Raw genomic sequence first — 20,442 nt, 5'->3', positions numbered from 1 at the left:
AGCCCTTTTAGGTGGTTCTTATGCATGATAAATTCAGGAAACAATGAGATACTTGGTCTCGTTTGTAAGTTTTAGCTATCCATTCTAATTAGAATTGTCTGTTCAAGTTCTGTTCTTTCAGCCTGTTTCATTTGGACTGCTGTTCACTGTGTCTTTTGGCTTTTTATGGCATTAGTTCTCCTAAACCACCCTCTGAATCCAGTTCTTTTATTTTTTTTTCTTTATGCTTAAGAGGTTTATAAGTGGGAAATTTTCTGCAATTTCATCTAGGCCATCTTCTTTCTAATTTAAAATGGTTGTGTAAGAGTGATGCATGTGAAATCTTTAAAAAGTGAAATAAAACATTTTTCAAAGGCAGTGGCTTCCTGAGAAGTAAAGCTTATTAAATTTTGGAATCTTACTAAAAACCTTCCTCATTCATATTTAAAAAAAATTTATCTGTGGAAAGAATTGTATCCGTTCAATGTGGTACTGAGGTTGAACCAGATGACTACTTTTTTTTTTTTTTTTTTTAAGAGACAGGGTCTTGCTCTATCACCCAGGCTGCAGTTCAGTGGCACATTTGCCACTCACTGCAGCCTCAAACCCTGGGCTCAAGGGATCCTCCCACTTCAGCCTCCTGAGTAGCTGGGGCTACAGGCATGCAGTACCACACTGGCTAATTTTTGAAAATTTGTTGTAGAGACAAGGTCTCCCTATTTTGCCCAGGCTGGTCTCAAACTATTAGGTTCAAGCAATCCTCCTGCCCTGGCCTCCCAGAGCACTGGGATTTCAGGTGTGAGCCACCATGCCCGGCCCAGAGGACTTATCAACATTTTTTTCAGTGCCAGAATTTTATTATCTAATAAATATTAAAATGTTTTAAATTAAGAAATAAAGAGTGGGTTTAACTTTTGGTAGTTTTTGTTTCAATACAAAAAGCCAGTTTTTAACACTAGCTCTGAATTTAGTAGTATCTTGTACATCTTGCTGATAAGAAGTTACTATTGTTTAAAAAATAAAGTTCTCTGGTCTGTTTTTATTCACCACACATTAGATGTGACTTATTGGTGCTTTTTGTTTGTGTTAATCATTCATTTATACTGTTGAACAATTTCATATGAAATTACCATTTTTGCCAAAAAGGATCAAATATCAGCAATTTTATACGGTTTAGCCTTGTAAGTCTTTGAAAGCCCAGAGTTACCCTTTTCACTGGAAACTGACCTAAATATTTGAGTTGAAGAATCAAAGTGGTTTCTCTGGAAATTTTGTTTTAGAATCTTAGGTTCACAAAACACAATTTGTACAAAACATAATTTGTACTTTCATTGTCTAGGCTGAACATATAATTTTCTACAATTAAAAAAGTTAGATTTTGTCTACAGTAAAAACAAAACAATAAACAAAACTGGGCACTTCCCAGTAAGATGGTAGTATGAAAGTTCCTTCAGTTTCCCACCATGACCCCTCATACAAACCGATTGAAATGATTCTAAGAAAAGCAAAAATAAGAATTTTTCTACTAATGTTGACAATAGGGAATTATCAAACATATTAATTTGGAGGAATTTTTTCATCTGTTATGTTAAAGTGAACTGAATGCTGGAAGCAGATAAACAATTCTCTTCCTTAAGAAAGCTGTATAGTATTACGGGAAATATAAATGGAGAAAAGTCTAGGGAAAATTCTAGAAAGTTCTAGAAAGCTGAGTTGGCTTTCCAGATGGAATATGAAGTTGCCCTGTTGTTGTGGAGAACTCTTTTAATGTGGCAGAATGGAGTTAGAAACAAAGGACGGATGTGAGAGAGATCGAAAATGGCCCCTCTGGAGCCTTTTCATAGCTGTGGGTCTTGGACTAAGAACAGCAATAGCATCCGGGCTAGAAACTAAATACCTGTGACATTATCCAATAGTCCATGGGCCCCCAGGGACTTTTTCTAAGCTAACTTTCCAAAAGCATGGACAGTTCCCCTCAAAGCAGGGAAGCATTTTAGAATTAGGGGTGCGGCATTTCTCTACTGGGACTGCTTATTCTTCCTACTTGCTGAAGCTGGCCTCTGGGAGGGTGATTTGAAAACATAACAAGAAAATGCATGTGGAGATGGAGACTGCCCTCAGACTCCTATCCCTTTCTACCACTCAGGAGCTGATGAAAGACTGAGCCTATATCTGCCATTCAATCTCCTGCTTACTTTAAAGCATCATTGTATTAAAAAAAAAAATGATGAAATGAAGAGTTGCAAGGATAGTACAAATAAGTTCTCTACACATTTCACCTATTGTGAACATTTTGCCTCTATCATCTTCCTTTCTACAGATATTTGTTTCTTTTCAGAACCATTTCAGAGTAAATTGCAGAAATCGTGCCTCTTTACCCCTAAATAATTTTATGTTTATTTCCTAAGAACCAGGACATTCTCTTACATTACCACAGTTCGAGTGTCAAATTCAGGAAATTTAACATTGGCACAATCATACCCATTCTGTAGTCTGTGTTCTGTTATTTTTCCAGTAATGTTCTTGACAGCATTTATTTCTTCTGGTCCAGGATCCAGTCCAGGACAGCGCTTTGCATTTAGTTTCTCTTACTCCTGGTCGTTTCCTCAGCCTTTGTCTTTGATGACCTTGACACGTCTTAAAGTGGAAGCCATTTATTTTTTTTATTTTTTTTGTTTTTTTTTTTAGACGGAGTCTCGCTCTGGCTCCTAGGCTGGAGTGCAGTGGCGCGATCTCGGCTCACTGCAACCTCCGCCTCCTGGGTTCACGCCATTCTCCTGCCTCAGCTTCCCGCATAGCTGGGACTACAGGCGCCCGCCACCACGCCCGGCTAAATTTTTGTATTTTTTTAGTAGAGACGGGGGTTTCACCGTGTTAGCCAGGATGGTCTCGATCTCCTGACCTTGTGATCCACCCGCCTCAGCTCCCAAACTGCTGGGATTACAGGCGTGAGCCATCACGCCCGGCCGCCATTTGTTTTATACATAATCCCCCAATTTGGATGTGTCCGATGTTTCCTTGAGATTAGAATCAGGTTATGCATTTTGGGCAGGAATCCCACATGAGGGGTGTCCTCTGGGGTTCACTTCACGAGGCACGTGATCTCTGTCCCATTATTGCCAACTTTAACTTTGATCACTTGATGAAGGTGGTGTCAGCTAGGTTTTATCGTTTCCCTCTTTGTAAAGTAACGAGTACTTTGTGGGGAGGTATTTTGAGATGATATAAATACCTGTTTCTTATTAGACTTTCACCTGTTAGTTTTAGCATGCATTTTTGATGCTTGCCTGAGTCAGTTATTGCTATGATGGTTGCAAAGTGGTGGTTTTTTTTTTTTTTTTTTTTTTTTTGAGATGGAATTCCACTCTTGTTGCCCAGGCTGGAGTGCAATGGCGCCATCTTGGCTCACTGCAGCCTCTGCCTCCCGGGTTCAAGCGATTCTCCTGCCTCAGCCTCCCAAGTTGCTGGGATTACAGGCATGCGCCACTATGTCCAGCTAATTTTGTATTTTTAGTAGAGACGGGATTTCTCCTTGTTGGTCAGGCTGGTCTTGAATTCCCGACCTCAGGTGATCTGCCCACCTCGGCCTCCCAAAGTGCTGGGATTACAGGCGTGAGCCACCGCACCTGGCCCAAATGGCAGTTTTTCTAATGTTCATTATTTCTTCTACATTTAGTAATTGGCCTTCTTCTGTAAGAAACACTTTCCCCTCATTTGTTCATTTTTTATTTATTTATTGTTGATACGGACTCATGGATTTGTATTTTATTCAATGGGTTATAATCCATTACCATCGATATTTATTTTGGTTCTTAAATTGTTCCCCATTTGGCTAGTGGGGGCCTCTCCACTGCCTTTCTGTGCCCTTTGGAGAAGTCCTGTCATTTTTTTCTTTTGGTAATACTTTCTTGCTGGCAGAAGAATATTCTAGGTTTATCTTAAAGTTATTTCTCTAAAGAGTTCTTAAAAAAACTCTTTTTTTACTAGAGTTGGGGTCTCGCCATGTTGCCCAGGGTGGTCTCAAACTCGGCTCCAGTGATCCTCTCGCCATGGCTTCCCAAAGTGCTGGGATTATAAGGGTGAGCTATCACGCCCGGCCTCCAAAGAGTTCTATTTTATTTTAGTGGCAAATGGTGTTGAGAAACCAGTATCTAGGCACTGCTTAAGTCTGAAGGGTAGGATTCTAATGTTGTTCACATAAAGAGGGAAGAACTCAAAAGATCTGTTTTGGACACATGCTGTGTTTGGACACTGTGTTTATGCTGATCTGCCCTTGTCCACACTCTCTGGACTGAAACCATATAACACATGGTTTCATATATATAACATATATGGTTCTGAAACCATATAACGTATTCTGATCTCAGAGCAAGTTCCCCCATATTATCTTCTAGATTTTTCTTGGCCCTTTAAAAACATTAATTCTTCTAGATAAATATTAGAATTATACATCAAGTTCAAAAAATTTGTTACTTTGAAAGATACTGAATTGGGCCAGGTGCGGTGGCTCACGTCTGTAATCCCAGCACTTTGGGAGGCTGAGGCGGGCGGATCACAAGGTCAGGAGATAGAGACCATCCTGGCTAACACGGTGAAACACCATCTCTACTAAAAATAGAAAAATTAGCCGGGCATGGTGGCGGGCGCCTGTAGTCCCAGCTACTCGGGAGGCTGAGGCAGGAGAATGGTGTGAACCCGGGAGGCGGAGCTTGCAGTGAGCTGAGATCGCGCCACTGCACTCCAGCCTGGGTGACAGAGCGAGACTCCGTCTCAAAAAAAGAACAACAACAACAACAAAAAAGGATACTGAATTGAATTTCTTTTGCTTAGGGTAGAATTAATCTTTTTGTAAGACTGAGTCTTCTTATTTAGGAATAAGAGATAATTTTATTGATTCTATTATAGACTTCAGTAAAAAGCTTGTACTTTTCTTCACATAAAACTTATGTGTCTCTTCTTATAATTGTTTAATAGAATTGTTTATAGTTTTGTGTTTAGGAATAGTATCTCTTTCACATTTCTTATATTGTGAATTTACACATGCAGAAAATGCTTAAACCATGAGTGACACCCAGATCGAGAAATAGAACCTAGCCGGCACCCTGGAGCTGCCGGTATGCCCTTTCCCTATCACAGCCTTCTCTGTCCTACCTCTTCTCCTTTCCTTCTGAGCAAATTAACGCAAATACGGTGACATACATGCTTTTGTTATTCCATGTAGTGAAGCATGGCAGTTAAGACAGAGAGATATTTTTTTCTGCTATGGAATCTTAAGAGGTGTTTACTGTAAGGATCTTTATGTAAGGGACAAGGAACAGAATAATTGAGTGTTATTAAGACTGCAGATTCATTTTTCATAAGTCTGTTTTTACTGCTTCTATCCATGATTAAAACAGAAATTATAATGTTAAATTAAAAACAGACTTTCTGGCTGGGCGCAGTGGCTCATGCCTGTAATTCCAGTACTTTCAGATGCTGAGGCAGGTGGATCACCTGAGGTCAGGAGTTCGAGACCAGCCTGACCAACATGGTGAAACCCCATCTCTACTGAAAATACGAAAAGTATCTGGGTGTGGTGGCGCGCGCCTGTAATCCCAGCTACTTGGGAGGCTGAGGTGGGAGAATTGTCTGAATCCAGGGGGCGGAGGTTGCAGCAGTGAGCCGAGATCGCGCCACTGTACTCAAGCCTGGGCGACAGAGTGAGACTCTGTCTCAGAAAAAAAAAAAAAAAAGCCTTTCTAAGGTTTGTTTAGGTGTCAAAATAGTAGCTTTAGCTTGCTATAGAAGTTGGAAGCACGCTTGCGGTTTATCTTAATTTAATGAGGTTGTGGACATTGTGCATAACATTCCCGCAGCCTCCACTACTATTCAGTACCTCCAGGCAAGTAAATGAATGGCTTCTTCCACCATCTCTCAGGTGTTGCTGTCCAGTTCTGTGCTTGAGCCTCTTCTACTGTACACTTTGTGCTGATTCATTTCTACTCATTGTTTCAATGCCTACGTTTATCCTCATCAAAGCCCACTTTTATTTCCTAGACCAGGTTTTTTTGACGCGTGATTCTCTCAAATTATTCAAATGAATGACTTTTAACAAGGGTCATTGTACATCTAGCTCAGTGGATTTTTATTCTACTGTTTTTTGAGACAAGGTTTCACTCTGTCGCCCAGGCTGGGGTGCAGTTGTGTGATCATAGCTCACTGTAGCCTCCAATACTTGGGCTCTAGCAATCCTCCTACCTCAGCCTCTTGAGTAGCTGAGACTACAGGCATACACCACCATGCCTAGCTAATTTTTTATTGTTTTATAGAGATGGGGTCTTACTGTGTTGCCTAGGCTGGTCTCTTTTTTTTTTTTTTTTTTTTTTTTGAGACGGAGTCTTGCTCTGTCGCCCAGGCTGGAGTGCAGTGGCGCGATCTCAGCTCACTGCAAGCTCCGCCTCCTGGGTTCATGCCATTCTCCTGCCTCAGCCTCCCGAGTAGCTGGGACTACAGGCGCCCACCACCGCTCCTGGCTAATTTTTTGTATTTTTAGTAGAGACAGGGTTTCACCGTGTTAGCCAGGATGGTCTCGATCTCCTGACCTCGTGATCCGCCCACCTCGGCCTCCCAAAGTGCTGGGATTACAGGCGTGAGCCACCGCACCCGGCCATCTAGGCTGGTCTTGAACTCCTGGGCTCAAGCCATCCTCCACCTTGGCCTCCTAGAGTGCTGGGATTACACGTGTGAGCCACCACGCCTGGCCACTCACTGGGTTTTTAGGGATCAGGGCTTTGACCAAAGTCTAGCCTAGGGAAATCTTTGAGGACTAGGAAGTTCAGAGGAAAAGTTTGGTCTATGGAAATTAATGATTATGCTATAAAATATGTTATATTCATTATATTATTATATAAATTACCATCAGTTTTTGCCTCATCTCTCTATCTGGTTGATGTGAATATGGTCTTTATAGTTGTTTGTACCCTTTGACAGATGCTGTTTAGTATGATGCTTTAAAGTGTTTATTCTAAAACCTTTTATCATTTTATCCATCTTTAATTATATGAAGTGCTGGAGACTGCTCACATTTTTACCAATAATAAGAGCATAATAATAATAGGCATTAACAGCATTCTTACAAATAATAAGAGCATATAAACTTTGTTATATAACAAGTCAGAACCCTTTTTTTTTCAGTTCTGTATCAATGAATATTTTCTTCTGAAAAACTCAACTTTAAACTTTGTAATTTTACAGTTCCATTGAGATTATATTGTTTATTTGTTTTAAGACATATACTATAACTGTTTTGGTTTTGCTTCTAGAAAAACTGATTGCTTATCAACGAGAATTCCTTGCTTTGAAAGAACGTCTTCGAATAGCTGAACACAGAATCTCACAGCGCTCTTCTGAATTAAATACGATTGTGCAACAGTTCAAGCGTGTAGGAGCAGAAACAAATGGAAGTAAGGATGCGTTGAATAAGTTTTCAGGTACAAACAGTATTTTTTATATTATAAAAAGATTTTATATATATATATATATATTTTTTTTTTTTTTTTTCTTTGAGACAGAGTCTCACTCTGTAGCCCAGGCTGGAATGCAGTGGCGCAATCTTGGCTCACTGCCAGCTCCACCTCCAGGGTTCACACCATTCTTCTGCCTCAGCCTCCTGAATAGCTGGGACTACAGGCGCCCGCCACCACACCTGGCTAATTTTTTTGTATTATTAGTAGAGACGGGGTTTCACGATGTTAGCCAGGATGGTCTTGATCTCCTGACCTCGTGATCCACCCCCTCAGCCTCCCAAAGTGCTGAGATTACAGGCGTGAGCCACTGCACCCGGCTGAAAAAGATTAGATTTGCAAAGGGGCATGTGGAATTTTTTTTTGAAAGTCATGTAGAATAGTTTATAAGCCAGCCCTTTCAGAGAGAAAAACCACCACACAAAACTTTCTTTTCTAGTAAATTACAAAAAAAAAAAAAAAAAAAAAATTTATTACCTGCTAAATCTGATTTTAAGAGAGTCATATTAAGTTAAATTGGCTGGGTGTGTTGGCTCACACCTATAATCCCAGCACTTTGGGAGGCCGAGACGGGCAGATCATTTGTGGTCAGGAGTTCAAGACCAGGCTGGCCAACATGGTGAAACCTCATCCCTACTAAAAATACAAAAATTAGCCGGGCATGTTGGTGTGCGCCTGTAGTGCCAGCTACTTAGGAGGCTGAAGCAGGAGAATCGCTTGAACTCTTGAGGCGGAGGTTGTAGTGAGCTGTGATCCTGCCACTGCATTCCAGTTCTGCACTCCAGAGAGAGACTCCATCTCAAAAACAAAAAAAGTTAAATTGCAGTGGAATAAATTTCATTGGCACTGGTGAAGAATGTGCATCTTTTGAAAATGAGATTAAATTATTCAAAATGAGATTAAAATTTAATTTTTCGTGTATATGTGTTTCTGTGATGACTTATGTGTGGACTTCAGATGGACTCTGGAGAAATCTTTGAGCTATTTGAAGCAATTCGTGCTCTTAAACCTTATTTATAATACAGAACATACATAGTTTCCTAGTGGATACTTTAGGAGTATCTGGCCTGTTTCTTCTCTGAGAAATCCTGGTCAGAGTAAGATGAGGGCAAGTGATCTCTCTTTCTGTGCTCTTCTTTATCTGATAATTAAATTGACATATGTATCTAATTGATTGCCTCTAAATTTGCATAATTTTTCTAGATTAGCATACTTTTTCATTTAGCTTCACCTGTTTTAAAAACACATGAATTCCTCTCATCTCCAGATCCACTGCCTCACCTTATTTATAAAGTTGCGTGCTCCTTCTCCTCCTGCTGATAAACTTTGCATTATGTCACCCTGATGTTGAAACTCATGGACTAGTGTAGATAAAAAATAAATCACCGATAAACCTGATGCCAAGTGATTTCTACTAACATTTTTTGTTTCCTTCTAGTATTTTTTCCGTGAATGTTTTTCTTCAAAATTGTTATTGTGTATGATGGCCTGATTTTCACTCTTGAAATTATACTATGAGCATTTTAAAACTTTGTCATTAATCTTCAAAATATTATTTTTAGTGGCTGTGAATGTGCCAGCTATATATACCACAATATATTAAACATTTTTTTCTACAGTTATTCAAATGGGTTTTTCTGGGTTGTTTTTCCCCCCTAGTTTATAACTCTGATGAACATATTTGTATATAAAGCAATCATATTTCTGGTAACCTTTAAGTTATTTTCATTAGATTATGATCTTCTTAGAAATAGGATCTGTGTTTTGATGACTTCATTTTTGAACAAATGATACATTTGCTGGAATAAAATAGATAATCACTAAATATTTGTTGAATGCATAGAAGCTAAATTCTTAAAAGGGAAATTACTGAGTAATAGGACAGAAATGTTTTAAGGTTTTTGCTGCTGTTTTGAATAGTTGGAACATTTATCTTGTTATCACCAATATTTAATATATTTAATCTGCTAATTTCATAGGTAGAAATTGATATAATTTGTAATTGTTTCTTTACGCATGAGATTAAACTTTAATTTTACATATGACAGTCATTTGCATTTCTTTCGTGAATTTTTGGTTCTTCTCATATTTTTAATGAAGTTGAGGTAACAAATTCCTACTGCTAGCTTGCTTTTTTCTAAGGTTAAATTCAAATTTAATGAAATTTTAAAACAATATTATTTCTACTACCAAGTTTTTATTTCATATCATTAAATGATTCATTGGTTCCTCTAATAAAAACAGAAACATCCTATGTATAAAATGGAGTGAGAAAAAAAATGAAACTATTTGAAAGTTGTGATCTGTACTGGATATTCTCAACTTGTGCTGTTTATATTATTTTACTTGAAGTTTTCAGAAAAAAAATTCCTTCCATGTGAAATTTTGATAACATGTAATGCATAAAGAAAGTGAATGGTTGAGCATGATAGCTCATGCCTGTAATCCCAGCACTTTGGAAGGCCAAGACAGGAGGATTGCTTGAGCCAGGAGTTTGAGACCAGCCTGGGCAACATAGTGAGACTCCCGTCTGTACAAAAAAAATTTTTTTTTTAAATTAGCTGATGTGGTAGCATGTGCCTGCAGTCCCAGGTACTCAGGAGGCTGAGGTGGGGAGGATCTCTTGAGCCTGGGAGGTCAAGGCGACAGTGAACCGTGATTGTGCCAGTGGACACCAGCCTGGGCTACAGAGCAAGACCCTGTCACAAAAAAAAAAAAAGAAAATGGAAGTGATTGATGGTTAATGTACTTATTATTTATTACATTTTCATAAGCCAACAGTATATTTAGAGTCTGTTTGGCAAACTTGAGTTCTAATACATTATAGAGGTGAGCCCTTAGCATCCCACCTTCTTACGGTCCTCTAGCTGGCCATTTTGGTTTCCTTCAGCCAGTTTTATCAACATCATGACCTGTGAGACTTTGGCTTTGAAAGTGTCCTTTTCATCTTAAATGGAGATCTCATTCACCAGAGTGTGAAACTAGGAAAGAAAATTCTTTAGTTCTAGTTCTTATTAATTTTTACTGCTGGTTTTATAAAATCAGCAACTTCTGTAAGGTAATTCTTGTATATTAATTATACTTCTGTGTTTCAGATAATACCCTAAAGCTGTTAAAGGAGTTAACAAGCAAAAAATCTCTTCAAGTGCCAAGTATTTATTATCATTTGCCTCATTTATTGAAAAATGAAGGAAGTCTTCAACCTGCTGTACAGATTGGCAACGGAAGAACAGGAGGTATGTTTATTTTGTTTCTTACTGCAGTTGTACTACTGCTGTTAAATGTGTTTTGGACTATTATGTTGACCATCAGAAGTCTGGGAGGTCAAAAAATGAAAGTTCTTTCTTTATCTGTGCACATCAGATCATTCTAAACTCCATGTTGAAAGGAATTGGACATTTTCCTTCATAGACCAAAGTAATACAGCTGAAAGGGATCATGTGAAATCTAGTTCAGGCCCCATCCCAGGCAGACAAATGTTGACACCTTTGTCATTTTTCTGTTTAAGAAACTTGGGAAGTACAGAGATGACTTGCCTTGTATCTTATTTCAAAATTAACAGCTCTTTTGGTCATGTCATAAAGGTTTTTCTTATGTCTGCCCCACTTTTCCTACAGAGGTGTAAGTAGATAGTAACTTTTATGTAACTTTTTATGGAGTAGTAGAAATACTTTGATTTGCTTCTTTTTTCCTAATTTATTCAAAAGATAATATATAGCTTATTTTTCTCTTCTTGTCAGAGGCAACAGAACTTCTTCAGTTTTCCTTATAGAAACTATTTACCACTCTTTTTGTTTGTTTGTTTGAAGCAACGTAAGGACAGATTTATTGAAACCAAAGTACACTCCACAGAGTGGAAGTGGGCTTGAGCAAGCAGCCCAAGAGCCGTTTACCACTCATACATTTGATTCCGCTGTTTTGACTTTGTTAATCTTTTCTTTGTAGATTTTAAAATGCAGAGGGCAGAATATTATTTTGTTCTTCTGTAAGTTTTTAACAAGTGATGAAATGATAACTTCATAGATATCAAGATTCATTTTTGGGTTAGTGTTTTTGAAAAGCTGGGTCTACTTTTGATTCAATGGGATTCTTAAGTATTTTGCTGTCTTATTTGGGGGATCACATCTTCTCATTGATCTATAAATGTAAGCTTTTACATTCATCTTGTCTTAGTTCTGCTGTCTTTCTATTTCATTAATCAGTTGAAATAATATACTACCTTCCTTCTTAAGGAGGTGGAAACTCTTAAAATAGCATGTTGAGACAAACTCCATCTTTCCTTTCTCTAATGATTCAAAAAATATTTATTGAAGCCAGGCATTCTGCAGGTGCCAGGTATACAGAGACTAACAAGGTGTGTGTGGTACTTTGTTTTTTGTTTTTTTTAGAATGTTGATTGTTAATTATTTTTGAAGCTGATATCATCTCTCCCTTTAATAGTCACTTTTTGGGTAAGATGTCTTAAGTAGTTGTGGGTTTGTTTGTTTACACTATTTCTTCATTCATAAGAGTATCAAATGAAAAGAAATTAGAAGTGTTTTTAAAGTCATTTAAAATGTCCAAGGTCTCTAATAGGTTTTTATTTTGTAAATGTGACATTCTCTTTCTTTTGAAGCTATGTATTCCATCCCATTTGTTTACATGACTTTATCCATTATAAATATAATAAAATCTTGGTCAACCAGCTTTCCAATAGTTAACATTCTTATAAAGCTGCTACTATTTTTGAAAGGTAGAAAAAACAGCTTGGTAGAAAAAATAACCCATATTTACGTTAAACATTTTCCTCCCTAAATCATTAGGAAAAGCTCTTAATATTTTTAGTTACAGGACCTTTTGGATATTCTAGGAAAGCTGTCAATCTCTACTTTGGAAAATGCCCATAGAAAATATAATTTTATTTGTAATTTCTGGGGTTTTATGGAACCCCAGAACTTATCTAGGGCTTCATATTCAGAACTTCTGTTTCTTAGATAAAGAAAAACAGCTTCTTGCTAAAAATTCTGTTTTCCAGTGGTCAGGCTGATTAATTAGGGAACAGCACTTAGAATAGCTAAGCCATTGTAAGGCTGAAGAGGAAGGACAGTGCTGCCGGTGGCTGCTGACCCCAGGGGAGCGGCTGGGATTCTCAATGCCCAGAACAGAAAACTGTCGGCGCACCACCCAGCACCACATCTGTATCCTTCCACCACATTCTCCAAGGCAGGCTGCGGCAAACAAACCCAGCGACTACAAGCAGGTGCAAGGGCGACTTCAGCAACAAGGGGTTGCTGAATAATTTAGGAAAATTAGTACCACGAATGACTTAATACTAAAGAAAATTGAGTTTGCAGAACAAACTGAATATGATTTAAAAATAAAGCATCAACATATTTTTAGAAATGAGGGAGGAGAACTTGCCCATAACACAATAACTGACCATTATCAAAGGATCCGTTAGAAATTTTTGTGCTTATGATTTCAATGATTATATTTAAAAATCCTACATCGAGGGACTGATATGGAATTTTAGCTAGACATAGCTAAAGATCAAATTAGTGATCAGAAAGACCGAGCTGTGTATTTCTTCCAGAATGCAGCATAAACGCATAAAGAATGGAAGTAGACAAAAGTTTTAATGTTCATCTGGTAGTCATTTCAGAAGGAGTGAACAAAGAGAGTGAAAAGAGGGAATTACCAGCTTATAGAAGTAAATTTCTTTGAGTTGAAGAAACCTTCAGGTTTTCAGGTTAAAGGGCCCATTCAGGGTAGAGCAAGAGGGCTGAGCAAAGACTCTCATTGGGTTATCTACCAAAACGGCACAACTGCTTCGTAGAGGATAACAGATAATTCTTGAAGTATTTGCTGCAATGAAAGTCCATGAGCAATTGCTATGGGCCAGGCACCTTGCCAGATACTTTGGTACACAAAATTAGATGTGGTTCCGAGTCTTGTGGAGCTTCAGCCCAGTAAAGAAAACACGTATTAGTCACATAGTCAATTATACAAACAACTGTATAATTATAACTTTAATTACCGATGTAAAGGATGCTTTGAGAATGTGTAAGAGGGACTTTTGGCCTAATTAGGGAGTTTAAGGAACTCTGAGAAATTACGTTTGGCCTGAGGCTGGTAGAATCTATCATTTACTGGTGAAGATGGGTGTGTTGGTGTTCTATTGCTGTTGTAACAAATTGCCACAAACTCACTGTGTTTAAACCACAACACAGATTTCTCATCTTACAGTTTGGGAAGGCAGAAGTCCTAACACCAGGTTGTCAAGAGGGGTGTGTTCCTTCTGGAATCTCTAGGGGAGGATCCTTTTTTTTTTTTTTTTTTTTTTTTTTTGCCTTTTCCACATTACTTTGTGGCCTCTTCCTTCATCGTCAAAGTACAGTATCTTCAAATCTCTCTGACCATGACCCTCTTGATTCTGTTGTTCCATCTCTTTCTTTCACTCTGACCCTCCCTCCTTCCTTTCATAAAGACGCTTGTGATTATATTGGGCCCACTAGCTAATCCAGAATAATCACCCCATCTCAAGAACTTTAATCACATCTGCAAAGTCCCTTTTGCCATGTAAGGTAACATATTCAGAGGCTCCAGGAATTACGGCATGGACATCTTTGGGCGACTATTATTCTCTCCATCACAATGGGGAAAAAAAGAATATTCCAGAAGACGGAAAGAGCACCACAAAAGTCCTGTGGTGGAAGGGAGTGTGGAATGTTCTAGAAAATGAAAGAAGGTCACTGTAGTTTACGTGTAGAGTGAGGAAGTGTGTGGAACAAGATGAGGCTAGAGATGTAAGTTGAGGCCAGACCATGTAGGGCCTCCTAGACCATTTATGGGATTTTGGTTTCTATCCTAAGAGCGGTAGGAAGCCATTGAAGGGTTTTCAACAGGACTTATTAAGAATGACTTGATAAGATTTAAATTTTACAGAGATCACATTTGCTGCAATGGGAAGAATGGTTGAGGATGTGGGAAGAGGAATAGATAATGAAAAACCAGATAGGCCGTTTCAGTGATCCACTGGAGAGAGGGTCAACTTGGAACTTGGACGAGGTAGCAGTGGTAGTTGTAGAGATGGGAAGAAGAAGATGGACCTAGAGTTGTTTGGAACATATGAGAATGTATCAGGGAGGACATAGTCATGTTCTGGATTTGTGGACTGAGGTAGAGGAGTGGTCAGGAATGAACCCAGGGTTTCTGGATTGAGTGACTGGATGCATGGTGGGCCATTCAGTGAGATAGGGGACAATAGACACTGTTTTGCATCATTGGTTTGCAAGAGAGGTTTATAGATTAAATTTGAATATGATAATTTGGAGGTGATTTTGAGATATCACAGTGGAGATGTTGGAGTAGGCAGTTGGATATTTAGATCTGGGACTCAAAGGAGAGATCTGAGTTAGATTTAATTTTATGAGTCATTGTTTGAGAATAAGTGGTTGAAGACGCAGAAATGGATGAGATCTCCTAGGGCCTAGGACTGAGACTTGAAGGTTTTCCAGCAGTTAATTTCCAGGGAAAGAGGAAGATGAACACAAGGAAGACAGAGACAGAGAAAGGGCAACTAGGCAGTGGAAGAAAAAAAACTGTCATGAGATATAAGGAAAGCAATGAGGAATAAATGACTAAAGTGAAACCATAAGGAAACATGATAGGCTAAAAATATTTGGCTAGCAATGAACATTTTTAAAGGGACATAATTTAGTTATAACTAAAGGTAGATTGAGTTACTGAAGATTGAGAATGCCAAGATTTTTCCTAATTCTTTTTTTACTTTAAAGGAAATACGAACTAGAATTTGAAAACTTCCCGGGAAAGTGGAAGAAAATGAAATAATCACAATTGATAGCTCTGTCAAATTATAAATACCATGAGGTAGGGGCCTTACCTATCTCATGACTGTATTTCAGACTGTCTAGTACATAATAGAGGTACTACATATGCACAATTACTGCTTGAATTGGAAATACAAGGTGGCTAATCAGTGGAACTCTTGCACTCAGAATTAAAACAAAATTAGTGATCCCAGTACCTAGCCCAACCCGTTGGCTCTGTTTCTGTTTGGTTTCCTTGGTCCATCTTACTCCTGCCTAAAAGGATGATATGACCATATTCTTCACTTTGCTGACATATTTCTTCTTAACTCTAACTCAGTAGAATACTTACATTTTCTGGATTGTAAATGGTAGAAGAACATTGTATCAGATAGGACAGGCTGGGTTATGTTGTGGTAACTAACAACTCCAGAGTCTCAGTGATTGAGATAACAAATGTTTATTTATTTTTTTGCTCATAGTACGTGTCCACCAAGGTTGACCAGTCATGCAGGGATCCAGGCTGACAGAGCAGTTGCCATCTTGAATGTTTCTGGCTGCTCTGCCAAAGAGAACAATCTCAAGGATTTCACACTGTAGTTATCAGTGCTCAGCCCACAGATTACACATGCTGATGACTCATGGGCTATTAATAATTATATCCCCTTTGCCCCACAGTCCCCAACCATAAGGGGACTAAGAAGGGCAGCCCCCACCATGGGCTCAGAAGGCCAAGGAAACTACCCTTTTTTGGTGGTAATTTTGCAAATTACCATAAGCATGGTCACTCTTAATTTTGTAGGTTTGGCTGAAATTACAAGTTTCATGTTTAGTGCTTTTGAAGTCTTTGAATACCCTGGTTTAAGCTAAATAATTTAAATTTTAACTCTAAAATAGTATAATTAGGGATAAAATGGTTTATTCTCTAAACATGCTGTATTAGTCCATTTTCATGCTGCTAATAAAGACATACTGAGACTGGGCAATTTACAAAAGAAAGAGATTTAATTGGACTTAACAGTTCCACGTGGCTGGGGCGGCCTCACAATCATGGCGGAAGGCAAGGAGGAGCAAGTCACATCTTACGTGGATGGCAGCAGGCAAAGAGAGAGCAAGCTTGTGCAAGGGAACTCCTCCTTTTAAAACCATCAGATCTCGTGAGGCTTATTCACTGTCAGGAGAACAGCACAGCAAAGACTTGCCCCCATGATTCAATTACCTCCCACCGGGTCCCTCCCACAACATGTAGGAATTCAAGATGAGATGTGGGTGGGGACACAGCCAAACCATATCATTCCGCCCCTGGCCCCTCCCAAATCTCATGTCCTCACATTTCAAAACCAATCATACCTTCCCAACAGTCCCCTGAAGTCTTAACTCTTTTCAGCATTAACTCAAAAGTCCACAGTCCAACGTCTCATCTGAGATGAGGCAAGTCCCTTCCACCTATGAGCCTGTAAAATCAAAAGCAAGCTGGTTACTTCCTAGGTACAATGGGGGTACGGGCATTGGGTAAATACAGCCATTCCAAATGGAAGAAATTGGCCAAAACAAAGGGGCTACAGGCCCCATGCAAGTCCAGAATCCAGCAGGGCAGTGAAATCTCAAAGTTCCAAAATGATTTCTTTTGACTCCATGTCTCACGTCCAGGTCACACTGATGCAAGAGGTGGGTTCCCATGGTCTTGGGCAGCTCTGCCCCTGTGGCTCTGCGGGGTACAGCCTCCCTCCCAGCTGCTTTCATGGGCTGGTGTTGAGTGTCTGCGGCTTTTCCAGGCATGTGGTAAAAGCCATGAGTGGATCTATCATTCTGGGGTCTGGAGGACGGTGGTCCTCTTCTCGCAGCTCCACTAGGTGGTGCCCCAATAGGGACTCTGCTGGGGGGGCTCTGACCCCACATGTCCCTTCCGCACTGCGCTAGCAGAGGTTCTCCATAAGAGCACCGCCCCTGCAGCAAACTTCTAACTGAGCATCCAGGCATATCCATTCATCCTCTGAAATCTAGGTGGAGGTTCCCCATTATTGACTTCTGTGCACCTGCAGGCTCAACACCACATGGAAGCTGCCAAGGCTTGGGGCTTGCACCCTCTGAAGCCATGGCCTGAGCTGTACCTTGGCTCCTTTTAGTCAAGGCTGGAGTGGCTGGGACACAGGTCACCAAGTCCCTAGACTGCACACAGCAGAGGGACCCTGGGCCCAGCCCAGGAAACCATTTTTCCCTCCTAAATCTCTGGGCCTGTGATGGGAGGGGTTGCCACAAAGGTCTCTGACATGCCCTGGAGACATTTTCCCCATTGAGCTTAACCATTCAGTTCCTCATTACTTATGCAAATTTCTGCAGCTGGCTTGAATTTCACCTCAGAAAATGGGATTTTCTTTTTTATCACATTGTCAGGCTGCAAATTTTCCAAACTTTCATGCTCTTTCCGTCTTAAAACTGAATGCTGGCCGGGCGCTGTGGCTCACGCCTGTGATCCCAGCACTTTGGGAGGCCGAGGCGGGTGGATCACAAGGTCAGGAGTTCGAGACCAGCCTGACCAACATGGTGAAACCCTGTCTCTACTAAAAATACAAAACTTATCTGGCCATGGTGGTGGGCACCTGTAATCCCAGCTACTCGGGAGGCTGAGGCAGGAGAATCATTTGAACCTGGGAGGTGGAGGTTCCAGTGAGCCGAAATCATGCCATTGCACTCCAGCCTGGGCCACAAGATCGAAACTCTGTCTCAAAACAACAACAACAACAACAACAACAACAACAACAACAAAAACTGAATGCCTTTAACAGCACCCAAGTCACCTCTTGAATGCTTTGCTGCTTAGAAATTTCTTCTGCCAGATACCATAAATCATCTCTCTCAAGTTCAAAGTTCCACAAATCTCTAGGGCAGGGGCAAAATGCTGCCAGTCTCTTTGCTAAAACACAACAAGAATCACCTTTACTCCAGTGCCTAACAAGTTCCTCATCTCCATCTGAGACCACCTTAGCCTAGATTTCATTGTCCATATCATTATCAGCATTTTGGTCAAAGCCATTCAACAAGTCTCTAGGGAACTCCAAAGTTTCCTATATTTTCCTGCCTTCTGAGCCCTCCAAACTGTTCCAGCCTCTGCCTGTTAACCCAGTTCCAAATTCACTTCCACGTTTTCAGGTATCTTTTCGGCAGTGCCCCACTCTCCTGGTACCAATTTACTGTATTAGTCTATTTTCATGCTGCTGATAAAGACATACCTGAGACTGGGCAATTTACAAAAGAAAGAGGTTTAATTGGACTTACAGTTCCATGTGGCTAGGGAGGCCTCACAATCATGGCAGAAGGCAAGGAGGAGCAAGTCACATCTTATGTGGATGGCAGCAGGCAGAGAGCAAGCTTGTGCAGGGGAACTCCTCTTTTTAAAACCATCAGATCTTGTAAGACTTATTCACTATCACGAGAACAGCACAGGAAAGATTTGCCCCCATGATTCAATTACCTCCCACTGGGTCCCTCCCACCACACGTAGGAATTCAAGATGAGATTTGGGTGGGGACACAGCCAAACCATATCACGTGCCATCTAAACTTTAGCAAAGCAAAACGGAAACCAAAAACCCTCGAGAGTATGGTAGGGATAGAGAATTTGCATTGTGACTTTATGCCATTCTTGTTTGCACACTGTGGATCACCATGGGCTTTGCTTTCATCATAGTGAAGTCTTTGTACTCCATGAGTTAGCATTTTCTAGGAATGCTCCTCATCCTAGTTGTTACGCTGGTAATTTTTTTTTTTTTTGAGACAGGGTCTTGCTCTGTCGCCCAGGCTGGAGTACAGTGGTGTGATCACAGCTCACTGCAGCCTCTACCTCCCAGGCTCAAGTGATCCTCCCACCCCAGCCTCCCAAGTAGCTAGGACTACAGGCATGCGCCACCATGCCCAGCTAAGTGTTTTATTTTTTGTAGATACCAGGTCTTGCCAAGTTGCTCAGGCTGGTCTCGAACTCCTGGGCTCAAGCGATCCTTCCGCCTCAGCCTCCTGAAGTGCTGGGATTAAAGGCATCAGCCACCACACCCGGCCTTAAATTCTGAGGTAGATTATTCTATGGAATTTTGCTTCCATTGTAACTCATCCTGTCTTTTGGGATCTCAGAGTAACATGGTCAGAAGAGAAATCTGGATTGGAGGCCCTCTCCTCAAGTGTGTTGTTCTGAGTGAAAGTTGCCCCCGTCCAGTTACTCAAGTCACCCTTGATTCCTCCCCTTCTCTTGTCTGCCAGCTGAAGCCCTATTTGCAAGGGTCTCCATCATCCACTCATCTCCACCTCTTCAAACACCCTACAGCCTCATTCAAACCACCATCTTTTCCTTCAGTTAGTACATTAACTTCCTAACCACTCTTCCAAAGTGCTTTTACTTTTTGTGAAATTTGGTAATCTCTTAAAATTACAAATTGGATAATGTCATTCCCCTGCTTACAACCTTACAATGGCTTTCTCTTGCACTCAGCATTAAAACAAACTTTGTTATATGCAATGTGACCCCTGACTGATTTTCTCAATCTGGGCTTATTCTGCTTTCGATCCAACCTGCTCTTGGTATTTCTTGACTATGTCAAAATCATTCTGGCTTCAGGGCCTTGTTGCTTCCTCTTCTGCAGTATTCTTCATCAGCTCTTTCTCATGGTTACCAGCTCAGCTGATATCAGAGAGGCCTTCCGTGACCACACGACTTACAGGGGTACCCCCTCCCCATTCATCACTCTGACAGTACCAACCTATACATAGCAGCCTGTAAGATACATATATTTTAAATCTTTTTCCCCTTTCTAGAATGTGCGTTCCATGAGGGCAGGGACCTTACCTATGTTATTTACCATTGTATGCTTAACACCTAGAATAGTGCCTTGCAGTAAATATGTGCAAAACAAATAGAGCAAATATCTTTTTTTGGGGGGACGGAGTCTCATAGAGCAAATATCTTTTTGAGTGCTTGAGAACTCTTCTTGCCTAAAATGGAAGAGAGGGTTGTGTCACGAGACCTTGGGGCAGTCCCTTAAACCTTTCGCATCTTAGTATTCTTACCTCAAGAATCATGGTGGTAGATCCATGGTCTTTACGCTCCCTTCTGGCATTAGAATTCTTTTTTTTTTTTTTTTTGAGATGAGATGGAGTCTTGCTGTG

The 20,442-nt window shown here is 40.2% G+C and overlaps 1 protein-coding gene across 1 annotated transcript in view; it reads left to right on the top strand.

Annotated features, from left to right (window-relative positions):
- MGAT4A (alpha-1,3-mannosyl-glycoprotein 4-beta-N-acetylglucosaminyltransferase A) overlaps window positions 1-20,442 on the top strand; it is a 112,027-nt gene that overhangs the window by 45,381 nt on the left and 46,204 nt on the right. The window contains exons 3-4 of the mRNA NM_012214.3: window positions 7,281-7,448; window positions 10,577-10,717. Of these exons, the coding sequence (NP_036346.1) occupies window positions 7,281-7,448; window positions 10,577-10,717 (309 nt within the window). The remainder of the gene's footprint in view (window positions 1-7,280; window positions 7,449-10,576; window positions 10,718-20,442) is intronic.

This window comes from Homo sapiens, chromosome 2 (genome assembly GCF_000001405.40).
Source record: "Homo sapiens chromosome 2, GRCh38.p14 Primary Assembly".
Lineage (NCBI taxonomy): Eukaryota > Metazoa > Chordata > Mammalia > Primates > Hominidae > Homo > Homo sapiens.
The sequence above is the reverse complement of the archived record's forward strand: the minus strand, read 5'-3'. Positions and strand labels throughout refer to the sequence as shown.